Raw genomic sequence first — 20,950 nt, forward strand, 5'->3', positions numbered from 1 at the left:
TTGTATGTTTGTTGGCCACATAAATGTCTTCTTTTAAGAAGTGTCTGTTCATATCCTTGGCCCACTTTTTGATGGGGTTGTTTTTTTCTTGTAAATTTGTTTAAGTTCCTTGTAGATTCTGGATATTAGCCCTTTATCAGATGGGTAGATTGCAAAAATTTTCTCCCACTCTGTAGGTTTCCCATTCACTCTGATGATAGATTTTTTTTTGCTGCACAGAAGCTCTTTAGATTAATTAGATCCCATTTGTCAATTTCGGCTTTTGTTGCCATTGCTTTTGGTGTTTTAGTCATGAAGTATTTGCCCATGCCTATATCCTGAATGGTATTGCCTAGGTTTTCTTCTAGGGTTTTTATGGTTTTAAGTCCTACAATTAAGTCTTTAGTCCATCTTGAGTTAATTTTTGTATAAGGTGTAAGGAAGGGGTCCAGTTTCAGTTTTCTGCCTATGGCTAGCCAGTTTTCCCAACACCATTCATTAAATAGGGTATCCTTTCCCTATTGCTTGTTTTTGCCAGGTTTGTCAAAGATCAGATGGTTGTAGATGTGTGGTGTTATTTCTGAGGCCTCTGTTCTGTTCCATTGGTCTGTATATCTGTTTTGGTACCAGTACCATATTGTTTTGTTTACTGTAGCCTTATAGTGTAGTTTGAAGTCAGGTTGCATGATGCCATCAGAAGCTGAGGACTTTTAGGACTAGTATTAACCCAGGCTTCAGATAGACCCTAGAAAACAACTTCCACTTAGAACTCCATCAGTCCTAATACTCACTCTCCTAGTAGACTAGACTCCCTGGACTCAGCAGAAATTTCTGGTACATATTGAACGTTAATGCTGAATGCTTAAAAGGAAGGTAAGAGCTAAACTATGCAGAAGTATGTGGAAATGCTGATCTAGCCCATGAATCAGACTATAGAAAGCCCTGAAAGACTGGCAAAGCACAGGGAATCATCAGCTTAATCCATACAAAGAGAATCTCAAATAATTTTGTATTGCACATAAGGATATTTGTCTTCTCTCAAACGTTAATTCATTAAAACTATTTGGATAGTAACAGTAATAAACAAATAATTTTTCTAAATTAATAGCAGTTGACTATTATACAATAAGTCCTTACAAAAAGACACAGGTCAATCTGTTTATAGAAAATTTCATAAACTTCAGAAAAGCCTTATTCTAACATCTACACTTCAGAAAAGAATAAATCACATGGAATTCTTCAACTCAGTAAATGTCAGTAGTCAAAATACTTGTAGACATCTTAAATGTTCTGATTTTCTGAGGGTTTTAACAAACTTTGCCTTGTGTTCTGACATCAGCACATTGGTAATAATATATATTCCTGGAGAAATATTTAATTGCACCAGAGCAAAACAAAGAGAGCCTTTCTAATGAAACGAACCACAAAATAAACATACTTTTTAAATTAAACTGAGAAATTTTGTAGAATGGTTGGATTAAACTAGCCTTCAATTATATCAGAACTATTAGTTCTGGGATGATTAAATTATAAGTTGTCAACATTTCCTTTTAACTCCCTACATTTAGTAATTAATAATTTGATGAGAAAATTTTACTTTCAGCTAAGGCTAAAATATGGAATGGATATAAGTTAATTATGAAACTAGCAATAACAACCTCAACTAAGACACAGAGAGCCAAATATAATTATGCAGGAATTAAGTTTTTATAGCTTTTTCAAAGGTGTCTATTTCAGATTTGCATTGGTTAATTTTAGGTTGTTAGTTACCTGATATAGGCTGTTTTCATGTGTCATTCCTATAAAATCAAGTTCAATATAATTTCAGAAATAAAATTTGTATATTTCCTTTAGTAGTTTGTGCATAGAACTCATGAGTTACAGAGGAAAAATGTATTACCTATACAGTGATTTTAGAAAGAGACATATTAATTTGTTATTTCAAAGTCAAACTGATGAGCTGTATATTTGATGAACAAATTGGCTCTGAAGCTTTTGTTTAAGAAAATAACACTAACATTTTAAGAAGTCAATTGATATTTGGAACAGATTACTATTATTTTTAAAGCAGACCAATTTTAAACTTTGAATTACAGAATTATTTTAAATTTGTGGCTTTCTAGGAAATATATATTTTTAATTCTTGTGAATATATGAACAAATTAAATATTCTCCTAGGGAACAATTAGAGTATTAACTACAGGTTTTAAACTTGTTTTAATAAGAATTTAGATCAAATATTGAATAACAGCATAATAGAACTATGCCCAAGACAAGGAAAATTATTTTTCAACTTCTCTTCTTTAATGGCACCATGATAGAGAATCTTATAGTATTATCAAGTACTGCCTTATAAAAATATTAACTGTCTTATGATAATATTTCACTGTCTTACAGTATTATTAAGAGAGCAACTTAAATATCGAAATCTTATGGATTTCAAAATTAATTTTTTTTGACATCCAAGTATGATATGTAGTGAAATTTTGTAGTTATGTTTAAAGTAAGGCCACTATAAGTTCTCAAATTATAGAGTTAATTCAGACAATTGAGTAAGCTGCCCCAAATCCTCATTTCCATATATGGAAATGAGATATAAATGGAGTTTGGGCCCTCTTCCCAAGGTTTCCCCAGTGTTTTTTTGATCATGTAGTTCAACTACTTAGCAATTTGGGGGATTAATTAAAGATAGTAAAGAAAAAGCTACAGGAAGATATTATAAAATATCCCATGCTAAAAAGATTATGTGGTTTAGGCTTGACAAATGTGAAGTGACATCTGCTGGGCCCTTTTGTAGAAAGGGATAAAGGAATTGGTTCATCAAGAAAAAAAAGGATTCTTACCAGGAACCAGTGAGAGAAACAACACATCTTCTAAAAAGGAGCAGGGCTAAGCAAATGATTCACAAGGCTAAGCTCACAGTAGATGAAAGGCCATGATTTTTAATTCATTTTCTGTAGACCACAGATAAGGAATCCTCTAGATCAAAGCCTGGCAACACAATGGATACTAGCAAAATGCAACTAGGTCTAAAAACAGCTGTCAAGGGTTTAATGTGCACAAATGAAATACTTTGGCTGTACTGGATGATCTTTAAAGACTTTCATAGTTCTATTGTTGTATAATATTATACTATAAAATATGAACTAAAAGGACATGTATATCTTCGAGTTGGTACTTTCTAATGTGGAAAAAAAAAAGTACCTCACCTAGCAATGAAAAACTGGGTTACGGCAAATGGTTGAGGTATAAGTATTTTAAGTTGAACAAGAATTTTCAATGCTGTATCATTTTCAGGGAAGATTCCATGAGTTTTAATGTTTAAAGTTGATAATTTTGGGAGAAAATATACACTATTTTATTAATTGGGTCATGAGTTTATTAAAGGTTATTGACTAAATTTCAAATATCAGGCTCATATCTTCAAAATACTTTCCTCATTGTGTTCTAATTGTCTTCCCATATGTGTAGCAAGTAATTAATAGGGTCACACAGGAGAGAATAGATTTATAACTTTGTTTGGTGAAGACTCATTTAAGCGATCTTCTATAGTGATGAAAGTGTTGGGTCTATGGGTTCCATTATTCCAAGTAGAAGATAAGTAACTTTAAAGAGATAGATCTTTCTTGTTTTGTAAAGACTCACATCACCTCTCTTAGGTATATAGATGTTCAGCTAGGAATGCCATTTTTGTTTTGACAAATTTTTTGAAAAACTCTCACTCAAGTGTAGAAAAATTTGGTCACCTGAGAAGATCTGGCCTGCAAGGAGGTCCTGAGGACACCTTTACAACTAGAGCATTCCTGGACAATATTTTGGAGGAACTGGAGTCTTGGAGTGGGATAGGCTGTACCTTTGGAATTCCTGCATGAAAAGGTTTGAACACTGCAACCTGGGGACTGCTGAAGAAGGGTTTTTACAGTGCCTGAGAGGCAGAGTAAGAGTTACAAACTCATAAGTCTACAGATGCTAGACAGATGTATTACCCGAGGAATGGGCACTGGAGGGCTTGCCTCACCTTAAAGGGACAGTTGCTTCATGGCTCCCATTCATGACATGGATTTTTGCCATGAATAAATGTTTTGTCTAGAATTGCCAGACTTTCTGATTTTTCAAGACAACAGAGAAATCCAAATTTTCATGCAAAAACTTTTTAAGTGTAGCCAATGAATTTAAGATTTTATTAAAACACTGTGAGGATTATACAAAACAAATCTAGCAGGGTGGATTCAGCTCAGAGTGGTTTGCATGCAATCTCCAGTATAAAGGACACACAACTAGAATGTAAGCTCCTGGAGGGAAGGACCTTGTCTTCAATACCCCTGCTAATATCTGATACCATAGCAGGTGTTTAATATGGAGTATCAATTCACATGTAAGTATTTTTATGTATGACATATTGACACCTCTAAGTTGTTCACTGGTAGGAGACTTGCAGAAGAGTGCTTGGCAGAAGAAAGCCTCTGGTTTCAATTTTCAGAGCCCACAGGAGCCTACATTTTGTTTACCTACTTGGGATCTTGGATTCAGGTTCAAGTTCCCTCCCTCAGCCAGAGTTTCCTTCTTACCCCATCTCTGTTCTTACCTTATCAACTTCATTCATACTCTCCCCACAGTTGTGGGAGGTGATGGATTATAGGGTTTTTGGATGACAAATTAGGGAGCCTGGAGAGGAGGAAGTCACATGCATTGGGTGAATCCCTTCCTTAGCTTTCATCAGATTCTAAATTACAGCTAAAAAATATTTCTCAAATGCTATTCCAGCTAAGTAGTCCATGCTTATAAGTCTGAGCATCAAGTGTTACTTGACCATCTAGAAAAAGTGGAAAAAGTGAGCAGCAGAAAAAAGTGAGCAGGGAAATACCTGGCCAACATCTTACATGGGATCTGTGAACATTCCACTCATATACTGTTATATCCTGTCCAAAGGAGGCTAAGCTTGCACGAACCATAATTAAGAATTTTGTTTTCTGGCTCGCTGGAAGTGGACTTCACCTTTAATATATGACTATTGATAAAATTCTCAAATACATTTCCCATTAAATAAGAAGTAAGAATGACGGTAAAGATCACTGCTCATTTAAAAATTTAGCTGCATTGAGAATTTCCTGTTAGAACAGGATGTAATAAAATGAAAAGGAGAAATCCATTAACTCAAGGTATGGTTATGTCTCTTATCATCTCAGAAGTCTGTTCTTGGCCTTTTTTTTTTTTTTTTTTTTTTTTTTTTGAGATGGAGTCTTGCTCTGTCATCAGGCTGGAGTGCAGTGGCGCGAGCTCAGCTTACTGCAACCTCTGACTCCCAGGTTCAAGCAATTCTTCTGCCTCAGCCTCCTGAGTAGCTTGGGGCTACAGGCGCATGCCACCATGCCCAACTAATTTTTGTATTTTTAGTAGAGACGGGGTTTCACCATGTTAGCCAGATGGTCTCGATCTCTCGACCTCATGATCCACCTGCCTCAGCCTCCCAAAGTGCTGGGATTACAGGCTTGAGCCACCGCACCCGGCCCAGCCTTTTTTTTTAACCTATTACACTATGCACTCCCCCTAAGTCATATTCTTCACTATTTTGGCTTCGTCGTTATCTGTACACTCATGACAACCAAATATTTCAGCCTCCATGCCATAGACCAAACACTTACCAGATCACTCTTCACGCACCACCTATTCACATGGCTCACCTTTGTTCATTCTTCAGAATACCGTTTATTAACACTTTCTCTGAAGGAAACTTCTCTGACCTTCTAAGACCAGTTGCATTTTGCCCTTTATTTGCTCCTATCAGAGAATTTATCCCATCATGTGTTTATTTAATCAGTCAATAATTGAGTGCTAGCTGCTTGGGATATAAAAATAAGTAAATACAGGCAAATTCTGAGCATGTTGTAGATGCTCAATAAATATTGAGCATATTGATGTTAACTCCAGGCTAACATCAATATCCAAATTGGTGCTTGATAATGAGTGAGTCCCAACAGAATTCTACAATTCTGCTCTAGGACACTGTTCAAAGAAGTGTGATCTGGCCAGGCGCGGTGGCTCATGCCTGTAATCCCAGCACTTTTGGAGGCTGAGGCAGGTGGATCACTTGAGGCCAGGAGTTCAAGACCAGCCTGGCCAACATGGAGATACCCTGTCTCTACTAAAAAATACAAAAATTAGCTGGCTGGGGTGGCACATGCCTGTAATCCTAGCTACCTGGGAGGCTCAGGCAGGAGACTCTCTTGAACCCAGGAGGCAGAGATTGCAGTGAGCGGAGATCACACCATTGCACTCTAGCCTGGGTGACAGAGCAAGACTCAAAAAAAAAAAAGTGTCATCTATAGACCACCTTCTGAGCTCAACCCCAGATCTACTGAATTAGAATTTCTGTCAGTAAAATATGAAGACACGTATTTTTAGAAGCTCCTCCAAATGGTGTTTAATTACCCTGATATTTGAGAGTCATTTGTCTAAGCCAAGACAATGGCAATGTCAGGCATTTGATTTGAATCATGAACTTAGCCAATAGCAGGAAATCCAGATAGAAAACAGGTTCAGTTACCTCACAAAGGTTGAGAAGGATATCACCAGAGTCCCAACTACGTGTGCTGCAGATTCATGGCAGAGTCCAATATAAAACAGTGAAATGACAAGCTGTGATGAACCATAGAAATGGTCCCTAACTTCATAGACAAATAAAGAAGCAGAGTAACTTCATTTATGAGGCTGTGCTCTCTGCCACTCTGCAATGCTTATTCAATAGAGCTGTTTTCCTTATGGAAATCTAAAAGTTTTGCCTCCTAGAATGCTAACCATTTGATAAATATTATTACACAATTACAAATTACTTCCAGAAACATGGTAATGGTTTGTGATGTCCTAAATGACCTTGTGGCCCTCAGAAAGATAACTTGATACCTATTCTCCGAGACTGGATATTCTAGAGTCCTAGAACGTTAGTCACTCTTTAAAGGCCAGAGAAGATAGAAGAGTAGGTTAAAATTAGATCAAATGGCCAGTAGTGTCAGAGGCATTTGAACCAGAGTAACTCCATGTTGAATAGGGATGGGATAAAATGAGTCTGAGACCTACTGGGCTGTATTCCCACATGGTTAAGGCATTCTAAGTCACAGGATAAGACAGGAGGTCAACACAAGATATAGGTCATAAAAAATCTTGCTGATAAAACAGGCTGCAGTAAAGAAGCCAGCTGAAACCCACCAAAACCAAGATGGCCATGAGAGTGACCTCTGGTTGTCCTCACTGCCACATTCCCACCAGCACATGACAGTTTACAAATGCCATGGCAACGTCATGAAGTTACCCTATATGGTCTAAAAAGGGAGGCATGAATAATCCACCCTTTTTTTTTTTACCTTATCACCAAGAAATAACCATAAAAATGGGCAACCAGCAGCCCTCGGGGCTGCTTTGTCTATGGAGTAGCCATTCTTTTATTCCTTTACTTTCTTAATAAACTTGCTTTCACTTAAAAAAAAATGACAAGCTGTGACTGCACTCATTAACAGTGAATATCTACTGAGGTTATACAATAGTACAGGCTCTAGACTGAATGATTTATATAAACTATGTGCACTTAAACTTCACAACAACCCCATAACATTACATTTTTATTATCCCCAAATAACAGTTAAGAAAACTGAGGCACAGAATCATTCACTAAACTACCAAAGGACTGTACAATTAGCAATGTAGAGTTTATATAAATCCAGGCATTCTTCCTCCAGCTGCAATCAGGGAGAACTTTCCACTTGTAAAGTAAGCTCTGCCAGGCAAAGTAAAAACCGACAAACTAGGAGACTATCGTGGAACAGTAGAATCTCGTGGCCATGCTTCCATTACTGGACAGTGACCCGTTGAAGCTCAACTTTCAGAACTGAGAAGGGTGGATGAGCTTGAAAAGTGTCTGGCTTATGGAAACCTCACATGGCTTCCCATAGTGGGCCCTCTTTGGAGACGTCACCCTTTCACTGCCCAACATTGGTTCTCAATGACCTCAGTGTGGCAGGTATCCAAAAGCTGGCTCCTCCAGGGTCCTTACCACTAAACAGTTCTCTGAAGTAGAAAATCAGCTCCCCACCAAAGGAAGATTGTTTGCAGCCTTTTGCTGCTGAGGTTCTTCATCCAGCTTAGGTATCAGCAACACAGGCCAAGACCAGCTCTCCTCTGTGAGAAACTCACATATTCTTGCCAAGCCAAAAAGTGAGAGTGAGGGCATCATGCTGCTGTGAGCCTCACATCTCTCTCCAATTCTTCCCTCCCCTGTTCAGGTAGTGCAGACCCAAATCAGCAAAACTGCTGATGAGCTGATTTCCTACTGGGGAACAAGCTTCCCACCTCCCTTTGCTGCATCCTTAACCTTGTGTAAGTGATTATCTTAAAACAACCCTCCTTGATACTGAGGATTACAAACAGCTCCCTCCCTCTCGCCTCTCTGCATGGACACTACTATCTCCAAAAGACTGATGATGACCCTTCTTTCACTTGGGTTTGAGGAAGAGGGGGTGAAAGTGGTTGTTGGTGACAGGGTTAGCTATGTAATTAATTAAGATCTGCAGGAAGATAGCTAAATTAATTTCTGGAAGCTCCTTCAATGTAGAATATACAGAGCTTAGAAACTTTTGTTTCATATCTTAGAAACTTTTGTTTCAGTTTTTTACCTTAGCAGAAATTTGAGGAAAACAGGAAAAACATCACTTGGCTTTCTGTTACAAGAGTTTATCTTATAAAAAAAAAATACCTCTTCATCTTATCCCATTCTTCATCAATCCATAGGCATCTGGAATTTTATGGTGATAAAGTAAACTGTACAGTCAGTATTTTATTCCCATCTGTTTTTTCGCTTTATTTCCCAAGTATCAATCCAACTATGATGATAGACATGTGTTACTGGAGAAAAGTTGAACCAAATCTATTACTGCCATGGAATATCTCTAATTCAGAATATCTCTAATTCTGTGAGTTTAAGTAATTGGCCACTTGCTTGGATTATCTTCACTCTTACTGAACATCAGGGAGAATAAATGAAACCAAAGATGGATTGTTATGGACATTTAGGTCCCTCTTCAAGGAGGAAGGGCTTATTTCCCATCTGCTGGAAATATGGCCTGAAAACAGCCCTCAATTATCAGCCTTCTTTAGCTGGAATGTCATGGCTCCAGAAAATTGCCTCCCCCAAAGTTTCATCTCCTTCCAAGATCAGATCATATCCAATAATTAATTTACATGGGGTATAACAGCCAGCCCCAGCCACAACTCAGAATAATTGGAATGACCCTCTTAGATCCAGAGCTCCCCATGTGTTGGCTGAGACCTTCACTGGGATCACATCACAGCTCCACTTCTCCCTATGCCCAATCTTGCTTCCATCACGTCCCTTCCAAGAATACTTCCTAATAAACATTCCACATGGGTTCCTGGGGTACCTGAGATATAGGCAGAGGTCAGAATCACAGCATTTCACCAGTTTCATTTTTTTTTTTCATTTAAATTATGGAGAAAATATTATTTAAGGAAATATTTCATTGTGTAAGATAAGATTACAATTCTAGAAGTTAATTTTAGAGTCTGAAGAATATTTGGTTTAGATTTAAACAGTCTCAAAGAGAATTATGGAAAGTGGAATAATGATAGTATTCTGTATGATTTCTATAATTTATTGTTTTTATGAAAATATTTGTGCAATTTTTAAAAAGAAGATACTACATAGATGTATTCAATCAAATAAATTAGGGGATTATTTACTGGCATGAAAACCAGAAGAGCATCTAATGCTGGCTCAGAAGAGAGAACCGATATGGTAAAGAGAGTTGCAGCGTTATACTAAGGCCAAGATCCATATACAAAACCCTAGGAAGATCACTATCTGTCTACTCAATGTCTCTTTTATGAATTTTTTTCCAGTCCAGCTCTTTGGTAGATGGCAGGCTTTATACAGAAGAGGAGTCTGGCACTAAACAAATTCTGTGTTCCTTCAAAAGTTCTCTACTTTACAACCTTTCTTCTCCAGTGATGGGTTCTACTTTCCTTCTGTTCCAGTGCAGAGTCATGAAATTCAACCTCTATTTTGCCGCAAAGTGGACAACTCAATACACCATGCCGTAATGAGCATTTTGAATATAACTGATTTTCAAGTAGATGAACTCTACTTAGTTCCTTTTAAATATTTTTCTCTAATTTTATCAAACACACAGTTGGAAAACCTTACAGATATATTGGAATAACTTCTTTTTCTAGCAGCATTTTGCAGAAGTTATCTAGGGAGTAAAACATGCTGTATTAACACTTCTCTATCCATCAGAAGTTTTCATTAATTCTGACCAAATAGATCAAATAAAGCTATTTCAGTGGCATGATGAAAGAGTAATTCTAATTAAAGGCATTGGAATAACAATACATAGGTTGAACCTTCAGAGACTACATTATAAATCTGGCCTTATACCATAGAGCAATTTTGCCCAATATCCCAAGAAAAGGAAGGAATTTGCCGAGCTTACCTATTTATTTCCAATCATTTGTAATGTTTAAAATAGACTTATAATTGTCCATACTTTTGAATTTATTTTTAATAAGAGTTATAGGAAAAACTTTTAATTAAGCGACTGAAATATAATTTTCTGAAATATCTCAAGTATGTTCTTGGATCCTGGAGGTTTACATGGCCTTGATCATGGCATTTTCTTCAGGCACTGCCTAGAAATACTTTCTCTGAAGGGAATTGAACCCAACTGTCTACTAATTGTGTTTAAATTAATTTATTTATTTTTGGAATCAGTTTTCCACATTTTAAAAAATTCATAGCTCCCACAAACACATAAATAACTTCATGTAATGTGAAATTTTGGTTGTAATACACATGTTAAGATGCAAAATAGTCTTATCCTTAAGATTTTGATTTTATCAATTTAATATTAATTTTAATTTTAATGATAATTGTGCACTTTTTAACGAAAATAGTCTTATTAAAATATGTTATGAACATATATGATCTTATACTTTGGTTTTAGAGCAGTAAAGCCATGGTTTTATTAAAATATGGTGAGTATATTGAACTCACTTGCACTATTTGCATACTTGTAATATTTGTGGATTACTAATTTCAAAATAAATCAAATAGTTGGTTATGCAACTTAAAAGATAGATAATAACAAAGAAATAACAAAATGGAATCCACAATGGAGTTAAATTTACCAAGTGATTTTACTTATATTGGATACACCATCCCTTAAAAGAGAAAAGAACTAACGTGTCAAGTAGAAAACATGCATTTCACTACATAGTAGCTCTCTGAACATGGGCAACTTATCTAAATTCTAAACTTCAGCTTCTTTAAACAGAGGTGATAATTCACAATGTGATTGTAAGAATAATTGAGGTAACATAAGTAAAGTGCTTATAGCACATATAAAGTCCCTCGCATATAGGAAGGATACAAAAAATCATAACGATCATTAATATTTGCTATCAACGCATCTGCATTTCTGTTTCTATCACTAGCTATGAGTCCTGGGCAAGTCATCAAGATCCTCTGACTTACATTTTCCTTGTGAGTAATATAGGGCATTAATAGGACTTGAATGGTCTTCTGTACAAGCTGTTTTGAGGATTAAATGAGATAGTATATGTGAAGGTGAAATGTCCATCATTATAGTCCTAACTTTTCAGATGAGGAAACTAAAGGCTAATAGCTGAAAGCAAACTATTCAAGGTCAGGTTACTAGCAAGTAGCTGAGCCAGGGTTTAAAAACCAAACCTTCAATTCCTGAACCCACGACTCATTTCATCTTATCACACAGCTGCCTCTAGTAAAGTTTTTAAGAACTTCCTTTGCATGGTCCAGGATTAGTCCCAGGGCATGGGATAGGATTAAGTTTTTAAAAGAAGCAAAAGAACCTCAGCTGCTAGGGTGAAAGGTCATGGGAGTGGAGAACTATAACACCAACCATACTATTTCTAATAATAGGCCTCCCTGACTACTGAATTCAGTAGTATTGCTGAAGTCAATCTTTGACTTTTCCTTCATCACCCACAGCTACTTTTGCAAGTCTCACTCTTTCTTCCCTTAAAATATTTCCATTATCCACAATTTTCTCCCCATTTTCACTGCTAACACTCCAGCGCAGCCTTTATTGCTGTGTGCCTGGTACAGCAAATAACCTTAGGCTGTTATCTCCTCCCTCTACCAATTACCCTCAACAATACTGCTAGATGGCTCTCCCAGAGATATCACTTTTCAGATTTACGATGCCTGGGATTATCCACTGGTGTGCTGGACCTGGCTCTCACCAGCTGGAGAAAGTGGATTGTGCACATGTCTTCTCAAACACTGCCTTCAGGGAAGTCATGTTGATAACTTTAAATTGTCCATTGTGGGTGCATTTATACCATAGACATCAGCAAACACTATGAATCAGGGCATATTTTCCCCCAGGGGCTTATTGTTAAACATTTAGCAGCACCGATTACATCTGACATAGTCACTACTTACAGGTACTATACACAGCATCTGACACACAGTAGTACTCAATATACATTTGCTCAATAAATTACAGATGTTCGCCCCCTCATAAATCTGTATGTCTTGTCTGCACAATTCATAGTCCAACTCTACTGCCTAGCTTTCTAGACTTGCCTCATTTGGTCCTCCACTAGGAAGTCAATGTTTTTATTCTTTTATAAGACTGAGTTCTGGGCTGGGCATGGTGGTTCACACCTGTAATTCCAGCATTTTGGGAGGCCGAGGCAGGCGGATCACTTGAGGCCAGGGGTTCAAGACCGCCCTGGCCAACGTGACGAGACCCTGTCTCTCAGGTGCAGTAGCACATGCCTGTAATCCAGCTACTTGGGAGTCTGAGGCACAAGAATCGCTTGAACCCAGGAGGCAGAGGTTGCAATGAACCCCTATTTAAAGAAGCTGAAGTTTAGAATTTAGGTAAGTTGCCCATGTTCAGAGAGCTACTATGTAGTGAAATGCATGTTTTCTACTTGACACATTAGTTCTTTTCTCTTTTAAGGGATGGTGTATCCAATATAAGTAAAATCACTTGGTAAACTTAACTCCATTGTGGATTCCATTGTGTTATTTCTTTGTTATTATCTATCTTTTAAGTTGCATAACCAACTATTTGATTTATTTTGAAATTAATAATCCACAAATATTACAAGTATGCAAATAGTGCAAGTGAGTTCAATGTGCTCATCATATTTTAATAAAACCATGGCTTTGCTGCTCTAAAACCAAAGTATAAGATCATATCTGTTCATAACATATTTTAATAAAACTATTTTCATTAAAAAGTGCACAATTAGCATTAAACCATATTGATGGCACCACTGCACTCCAGCCTGGGTGACAGAGCAAGACTCTCTTTAAAAAAATTAAAAATAAGACTGAATTCCACTTAAGCTGCTGGGGCCACCACTGGTGCTGGCATGGTCTATGACTAATCCCTCCTCTAGGCCTCAGGTCCTTCTCTTTCTCCCACCTGGAAAGCTCTCTCCTTCTACTTGTGCAAATCCTGCTAGTTCTTTACAGTCCAGATCAGATTTCACATCTTCCCTGAAAATTCCATCATTCTAAGACATTCTCATCTCTATATAGTTAGTCCATTTATTTAGCATTTCATTACTTTGTATTGTTTCATTCCCATTAGTTTTATTTCTGTAGCTATATCACGAACTTCTTAAAAGCAGCGTCCACTTTTTTTTTCTTATTTGTATTTCCACAAGTCAGGTAATATACATTAAGACTGAAGAAGTCCATCTGGCCCAGTTGTTCCCAAACACTTTTTCATGGTCTGATCCAAAACATTCTTCTCACATAAATTCTGGACTGTTGTTTTTGAGGCACTTAATGCCCACACACCTCCAACCCTCAAGCTCACAGTGTTCAGTATAAGGGGAACCTTTGAGCTTCCTAACCACAAGCTGCTCTAGCGAGTCATCCAAACTGCAGCCAAAGGTATGGCACAATCATTGCTTGGACTTTCAGTTTAGTTTTCCCAGAATATTCCAAATGAAATAAAATAGGTTTTATTTTCTATTTTTTGCCAACACATCTATGTATTGCAAATAGTATTTTCTATGTTAAACTGTGAAAAAATAATATAGTATAGGAAACAGTTGGATGAATAAACTCTACTTTGTGATATATAATCAAATATAGATTTCCAAATTGATAATTGTTCAAGGAAATAATTACGGAAGTGGTATAAAATAAGCCTTTATATTATAAATGTATGAATTTTAATAATATTTTTCCTCCGTGAATTCATATGTGCATATGTATGCATGAATGTCTTATCGTGATAAGGACATCTGTATTCTGCAATTGAGTCCCTCTACCTTTTTTGCTGGTAAAAATGACCTTCGTCTTATTAAGTAATGGTGATAGTTGAATACAGTTCATTTAATAGCTTTATTTGCAAAACTAAAAAGTTGGCAATTCAATGTTTTTTATTCTACTCCAGCCTCATCAAAACCTTAAATATGTATATATACATATATCTTATATACATCATATATATATATATATTTATGTATCTGTTTATGTGTATGCATACATATATGTATATTTGCCTTAGTTCATTTGGCTGCTATAACAAAATTACCACAGACTGAGTAATTTATAAAAATAGAAATTCATTGTTTACAGTTCTAGAGGCTGGGAAGTCCAATATCAAGGCACTAGCAGACTCAGTGTTTGGTGAGGGCTTGCTCTGCAGTTCAAAGATGGCACCTATTATTGCATTGTCACATGGCAGCAGCAGAGAATGCTATGATCTCACGTGGCAGGAGGGGCCAGGAAACTGCTTTTAAATTTCTTTCATCAGGGCACTAATCCCATTCATGAATGTGAAGACCTCATTACTTAATTACTTCCAAACAGGCCCCACCTCTTAGTGCCACCACAATGGGAATTAGGTTTCAACGTAAATTTTGGAAGAATTAGACCAAAGCAATATGTATAGGTATATATGTCTGTTCAGTAAAGGGTTAACTTGGACTTGGGCTATTCAAATACTGTGCATTCCAACTGTCTTCAAGGCTGGCCTTGACTGGCTCCTAAGAGATAACCCATAAGGTCTTGGAATATCCTACCTAATAAACATGTCATTTTATACCTGAGCTTTGGGCCATGCCAGAAGTGTTTCTGCTAACAATGTGATGTATGGTGAATGTCTGTTTTTGTTCACCTGGGACCTAGGGCCATTCTCTATCAGTTTGACCTCTGGGAGGGACTGGAGACTGAGTAGCTAAGGTCAGTCATGACAGCACCTCATGCCTACGTGACTGACCCCCAAGACTGACCCCAAAAATGCTGGAGTGAGTTTTCCTGGTTGGCCATACATGCTGTCACACCTTGTTACTGAGAGAATTAAGCGCTGTCTGCTGTTTCTACAACTTCACTTGAAGAAGATACCTGAAACCATGTGCTTACCTCTAGATTTCTGTGTGTTTTTCCTTTGCTGATTTTAATCTGTATCTTTTCTGCTGTAATAATCTGCAACCATGGGTATAACAGCTTTCTGAGTTCTGTGAAACCTTCCAGTGAAGCATCAAATCTAAGGATGGTCTTGGGAACCCCCAGTACAACATATATGGGTATATGTGATTCACTGGTTGTGAAACTCAAAACCTTGATAACCACTGAGCTCAGTTCATCCTCCCTCATTTCCACCTCCAGCATACCCCAACTCTACCCTGCCTCACCCACATCCCTATCTCCTGCCTCCTTTTCTCCATTTATAAATGAGGAAACATAGGCCCAGGGAGATTAAGTAATTTTCAGTATAATGTAATATTTAACATTCTGTAATATAATTACTTAGCCATCACAAAAATCCCAGAGGTTGGAACTAAAATCTTTATTTATAAGTGAGAACTCCGAAGGCTTGAGTAAGATACTTGTCAGAGGTCATCAGCTAGTTAAGATATGGAATTGGGATTTAAGTCCAGATATTCTGACTCTAGACCCCAGCTCCTAACCTCTGTGTTCTAGTGTCTCAATGAATTAAGGAATGAATGAATTAAATCACTGCTATTAACCCTATCAAAACTTCTGTTCACTTTCTTGGGATTACTTGCACACATTGTCTACAACGAAGCAGCCATTCATCATTAATGACTTAGACCAAAGAATACTGACTTACATAGCAGAGCCAATGCACTTAGCCGTATAGGTATGTTGTGCCATTTGCCATGTGTGCTCTATGAGTGACACCTCCTAGAGGTATTCAATGCAGTGGCCTAACACTAAGCCTAATTGCTGAACAATTAGGTAATCTGAGAAGTAAAAAGCTTAATTCAGGGGGCATACAAGGTTTATAATTGGGACTATTCATCTACCTGCAAAAAAGATTCCCTTTGAAGTACAATGATTAAATACTTATGTTTGTAGTTTGCTAAGAAATTCAGTATACAAGGATAGATCAGATAACTGTTTCTGCACTTATATTTCTTAATATTTAATTAGGGAGAGAAGCCAGTGGTTCACTCACAAATCATAATTTGAAGAACTCACTATAAAGACTGAAATTCACCAGGCCATCATTTTCTTTCTTATAACAATGCAGTCAACTCATCACCACTTAATGAGAGGCAGAATAACTAGGCAGTTAAGAACACAGATTGGAGAGCTTGAATCCCAGCTTCATTGCCAGAAGTTTTGTGAATTTGGCCATGTTACTCAACCTCTCAATGCCTACATTTCTTCGTATGTAAAATGTGAATGATAACAACAGTATCTACTCTGGGTATTAGGAGCTCAAAATGAACTAATGTTTGCAAATGTTTAGCACAAGTTCAAGCACATGGTAAATGCTGCATAAGTATATATTAAGTAAGTATTGTGCTTGGAGAGAACTTTAAATCTTTTTTTTCATTCTCACTGATTTATCATTTCTAACATGTCTTATACATTTAGAAGACTTTAGTTAGTTTATGTTGTTTGGTCACATTTAAGAATAAGATGAAAGAAAAAGAGGAGGGGAAATAATCCATATTAATATCATTGCTTTTCCTTGCCATCAGTAGATTGAAAATCTACTCAGGATGCACAGTTTCTGGTTCTGGGAAAACTTAAACACACTGGAATTATTTCGTATCACAGAAACAAACATACACAAACATTTTATGAACTCTTAACCAACAGGTGAGGAAATTAAAGCCAAGCTTAAAGTCTCCATGAAAAAGGCTCGAATTACAATACGAATTTGCCCTCAACTAAAATGAATGACTTCAGAAAAAAAACTGGAAATTTCAGGGCCTCCCAAACAAAACAAATTCAAAGTTTTGGTTTATCTCATAATTGTCTTTTGCAGTCCAAGCAGACTGACAGAATGAATCAAACTTCTAAGATGTGGTGACATTTAGTTATCCTACTTAGATAGGTACAAATATTTTTAGAAATTTGCCCAGAGTCTAACAGGAAAAAGTATTGGAACAAAAGAAAGATTTCTATATTGGCTGCATTGTCCTTATACTAACTCAATAACGAAAATAAGAATCAAGGAATATAACAATTATGTACCCACCTCTGAAGTGTTTAAAGGAGTAATTGACCTTTCACAGGCTGAGGTAGTTACATACATTTTACTCCATAATTATTTACTTTGGAAATAACAGAGTAGCTATTTAACTTCCTTTTTCTTTCCTTCTACCCCATTGATGTGAGGCAGACTTTTCTGTAAAAGGAAACAGGATCTTAATAAATCATTGGCAACAATCAAACTTAATCATAATCACCTCTCACCTACAAGAGGTATCAAAAGTTAAAACTGCATATTTTATTTCCATCATGACTTTCTCTCTATTTTGAAATTATCTTGTTCAAATGTATCCAAATAACAACCTTCACTAATTTCGCTTGAAGATACTAGAAAATGCTGTGGCAAACTGTCCAAAATAACTTCCTAGAAATTCTGAGCAAATTGGACTGCTTCAATTTTACAATAACTATTAAAAATACAAGAACAAGAAAAAGCGATTAAAATTACCTTCCTTCAAGTATGCCTGGGTCTTGGATAAACTGAAAGATGAGCTTGAATATTGTATCACCATTGATATCTCCCTGTGGAAATTTGAGACCAGCAAGTACTACGCGACTGTCATTGATGCCCCAGGACACAGAGACTTCATCAAAAACATGATTACAGGGACATCTCAGGCTGACTGTGCTGTCCTGATTTTTGCTGCTGGTGTTGGTGAATTTGAAGCTGGTATATCCAAGAATGGGCAAACCTGAAAGCATGCCCTTCTGGCTTGTATACTGGGTGTGAAACAACTAATTGTTGGTGTTAACAAAATGGATTCCACTGAGCCATCCTACAGCCAGAAGAGATATGAAGAAATCGTTAAGGAAGTCAGCACTTACATTAAGAAAATTGTCCACAACCTGACACAGTAACATTTGTGCCAATTTCTGGTGGGAATGGTGACAACATGATGGAGCCAAGTGCTAACATGCCTTGGTTCAAGGGATGGAAAATCACCCATGAGGATGGCAATGCCTGTGGAGCCACGCTGCTTGAGGCTCTGGAATGCATCCTACCATCAACTCATCCAACTGACAAGCCCTTGCACCTGCCTCTCCAGGATATCTACAAAATTGATGGTATTGGTACTGTTCCTGTTGGCTGAGTGGAGACTGGTGTTCTCAAAAACGGTATGGCAGTCACCTTTGCTCCGGTCAATGTCACAACTGAAGTCAAGTCTGTTGAAATGCACCATGAAGTTTTGAGTGAAGCTCTTCCTGGGGACAATGTGGACTTCGATGTCAAGAATGTGTCTGTCAAGGAGGTTCATCATGGCAACGTTGCTGGTGACAGCAAAAACGACCCACCAATGGAAGCAGCTGGCTTCACTGCTCAGTGATTATCCTGAACCATCCAGGCCAAATCAGTGCTGGCTGTGCTCCCGTACTGGATTGCCACATGGCTCACATTGCATGCAAGTTTGCTAAGCTGAAGAAAAAGACTGGTAGCACTTCTGGTAAAAAGCTGGAAGATGGCCCTACTTTCTTGAAGTCTGGTGATGCTGCCATCGTTGATATGGTTCCTGGCAAGCCCATGTGTGTTGAGAGCTTCTCAGTCTACCCACCTCTGAGTCGCTTTGCTGTTTGTGATATGAGACAGACAGTTGCTGTGGGTGTCATCGAAGCAATGGACAAGAAGGCTGCTGGAGCTGGCAAGGTCACCAAGTCTACCCAGAAAGCTCAGAAGGCTAAATGAACATTATCCCTAATACCTGTCACCCAAGTCTTAATCAGTGGTGGAAGAACAGTCTCAGAACTGTTTGTTTCAATTGGCCATTTAAGTTTAATAGTAAATGACTGGTTAATGATAACAATGCATCATAAAACCTTCAGAAGGAAAGGAGAATGTTTTGTGGACCACTTTGGTTTTTGTTGTTGTTTTCTTTTTTCTTTTTCTTTCTTTTTTTTTATATGTGTGTGGCCATTTTAAGTCATTAGTTTTTAAAATTAGTACTTTTTAATGGAAACAACTTGACCAAAAATCTGTCACAGAATTTTGAGACCCATTAAAATGAAGTTTACTAAGAAATATATATAATATATATATGTATTTTTTTTTAAGAAATAATAGTAATCTCACATAAGCTCTCCCCAAGAATAGGAAATAGGAAACTCTTCCCACCGGGGTGAAATCTGATGAGAAAGAATGATGTGAGTAGATTTTTAAAGTAGTTTAGGGGAGTACACACCATAAACTTTAGAAACAAATATAATTTTATAACTGTTCTGATTTTCAACTCTAATTAAAGCTCAAAAAATTTGCTTCTTGGTGTAACTAAATTTTTACTAATAGAATAAAGAAATTCATGTATACAGTATTTGTTGAATACCTCTCTTCTCCCTTCTTTTTAACTTCTCCCCTGACAGTGGCTGTCCCTCATGCATTAACATGTGCAATTGCCTTCCTTCCTCAAAACTCTCCCTTAGCCCTGTCATTTCCTCTGCCATCTACTCCCTACCTTAGCCATCCAGACTTGAAAAATTAACTAGATTTTTGTCTCTAATTTTTCACTTCCCATTTTTTCTTTTAGCTTCAGCAATCTGATTTTGGTAATTCTATTCAAAATGCTTTCAGAAAAGTCACGAATGAACCCCAAATTGCCAAATGCAACGTGAGCTTTTTAGTCTTTGTTTTGCTGGACCTTTCTACTGCACTTAACACTGTTAATGAGGAACTGCTTCTTGAAACTTTTCTCCATTGACAACTTTAATAATAATATCTCTGGCTTTCTAATCATTATGTTTCTGCCTCTTTGGGTCCTTCCTCCTTTGATTACTTTGTATCTTTCCTTCAGGGGCCCAAGAGGTATGAAGACTATATGAGTACAGTTTCAAAAAGTAAACAGCCTTTCAGAAAAATTTAAATGCAAATTTACTGGTTATATACATGAAGTAGAATTGCATGAATATATTTCTAAATAGGTGCTCTATTCAACTTTTTAATATATGCAATATTTTTATTCAGCAAATTAATTTATGTATTTATAATTGCTCTGCTAAAGCTTTGAAGAAATATTTTATTAAGTTGATTAAATATTGCCTCTCATTTTCTGTGAATTTATTATGAAAAATGTAAATAGTCTGGAAATAATATTTAATGCTATCTGAAATTCTGATTTAATTAATTTGTCTGAATCTAAGTTAATCAGAATTGCAACCAACTCTACATTTCACTGATTAAAACATTTTAAATGCATCATGATAAGTTGTATTACTATCCTTAAAATAAGTAACCATATTCAGAAGAAAAAATAGCTACACATTTAAACTTCTATCTTGCTCATCTTTGGAAACTTTAGGGATGACCCTTCCTTGCTTTCAAGACAAATCAGAATTTTCAGCATTCAGAATATAAGTGACAAGGTTGATAAGACAAGACATATATTACTTTCTACGAAACCTTTAAAAGGCAAACCAGTTACTCACCAGCACAGC

The 20,950-nt window shown here is 36.8% G+C and overlaps 1 pseudogene; it reads left to right on the forward strand.

Moving 5' to 3' along the window:
- On the forward strand, positions 17,981-19,393 carry EEF1A1P17 (eukaryotic translation elongation factor 1 alpha 1 pseudogene 17; annotated as a pseudogene).

This window comes from Homo sapiens, chromosome 12 (genome assembly GCF_000001405.40).
Source record: "Homo sapiens chromosome 12, GRCh38.p14 Primary Assembly".
NCBI classification, from domain to species: domain Eukaryota; kingdom Metazoa; phylum Chordata; class Mammalia; order Primates; family Hominidae; genus Homo; species Homo sapiens.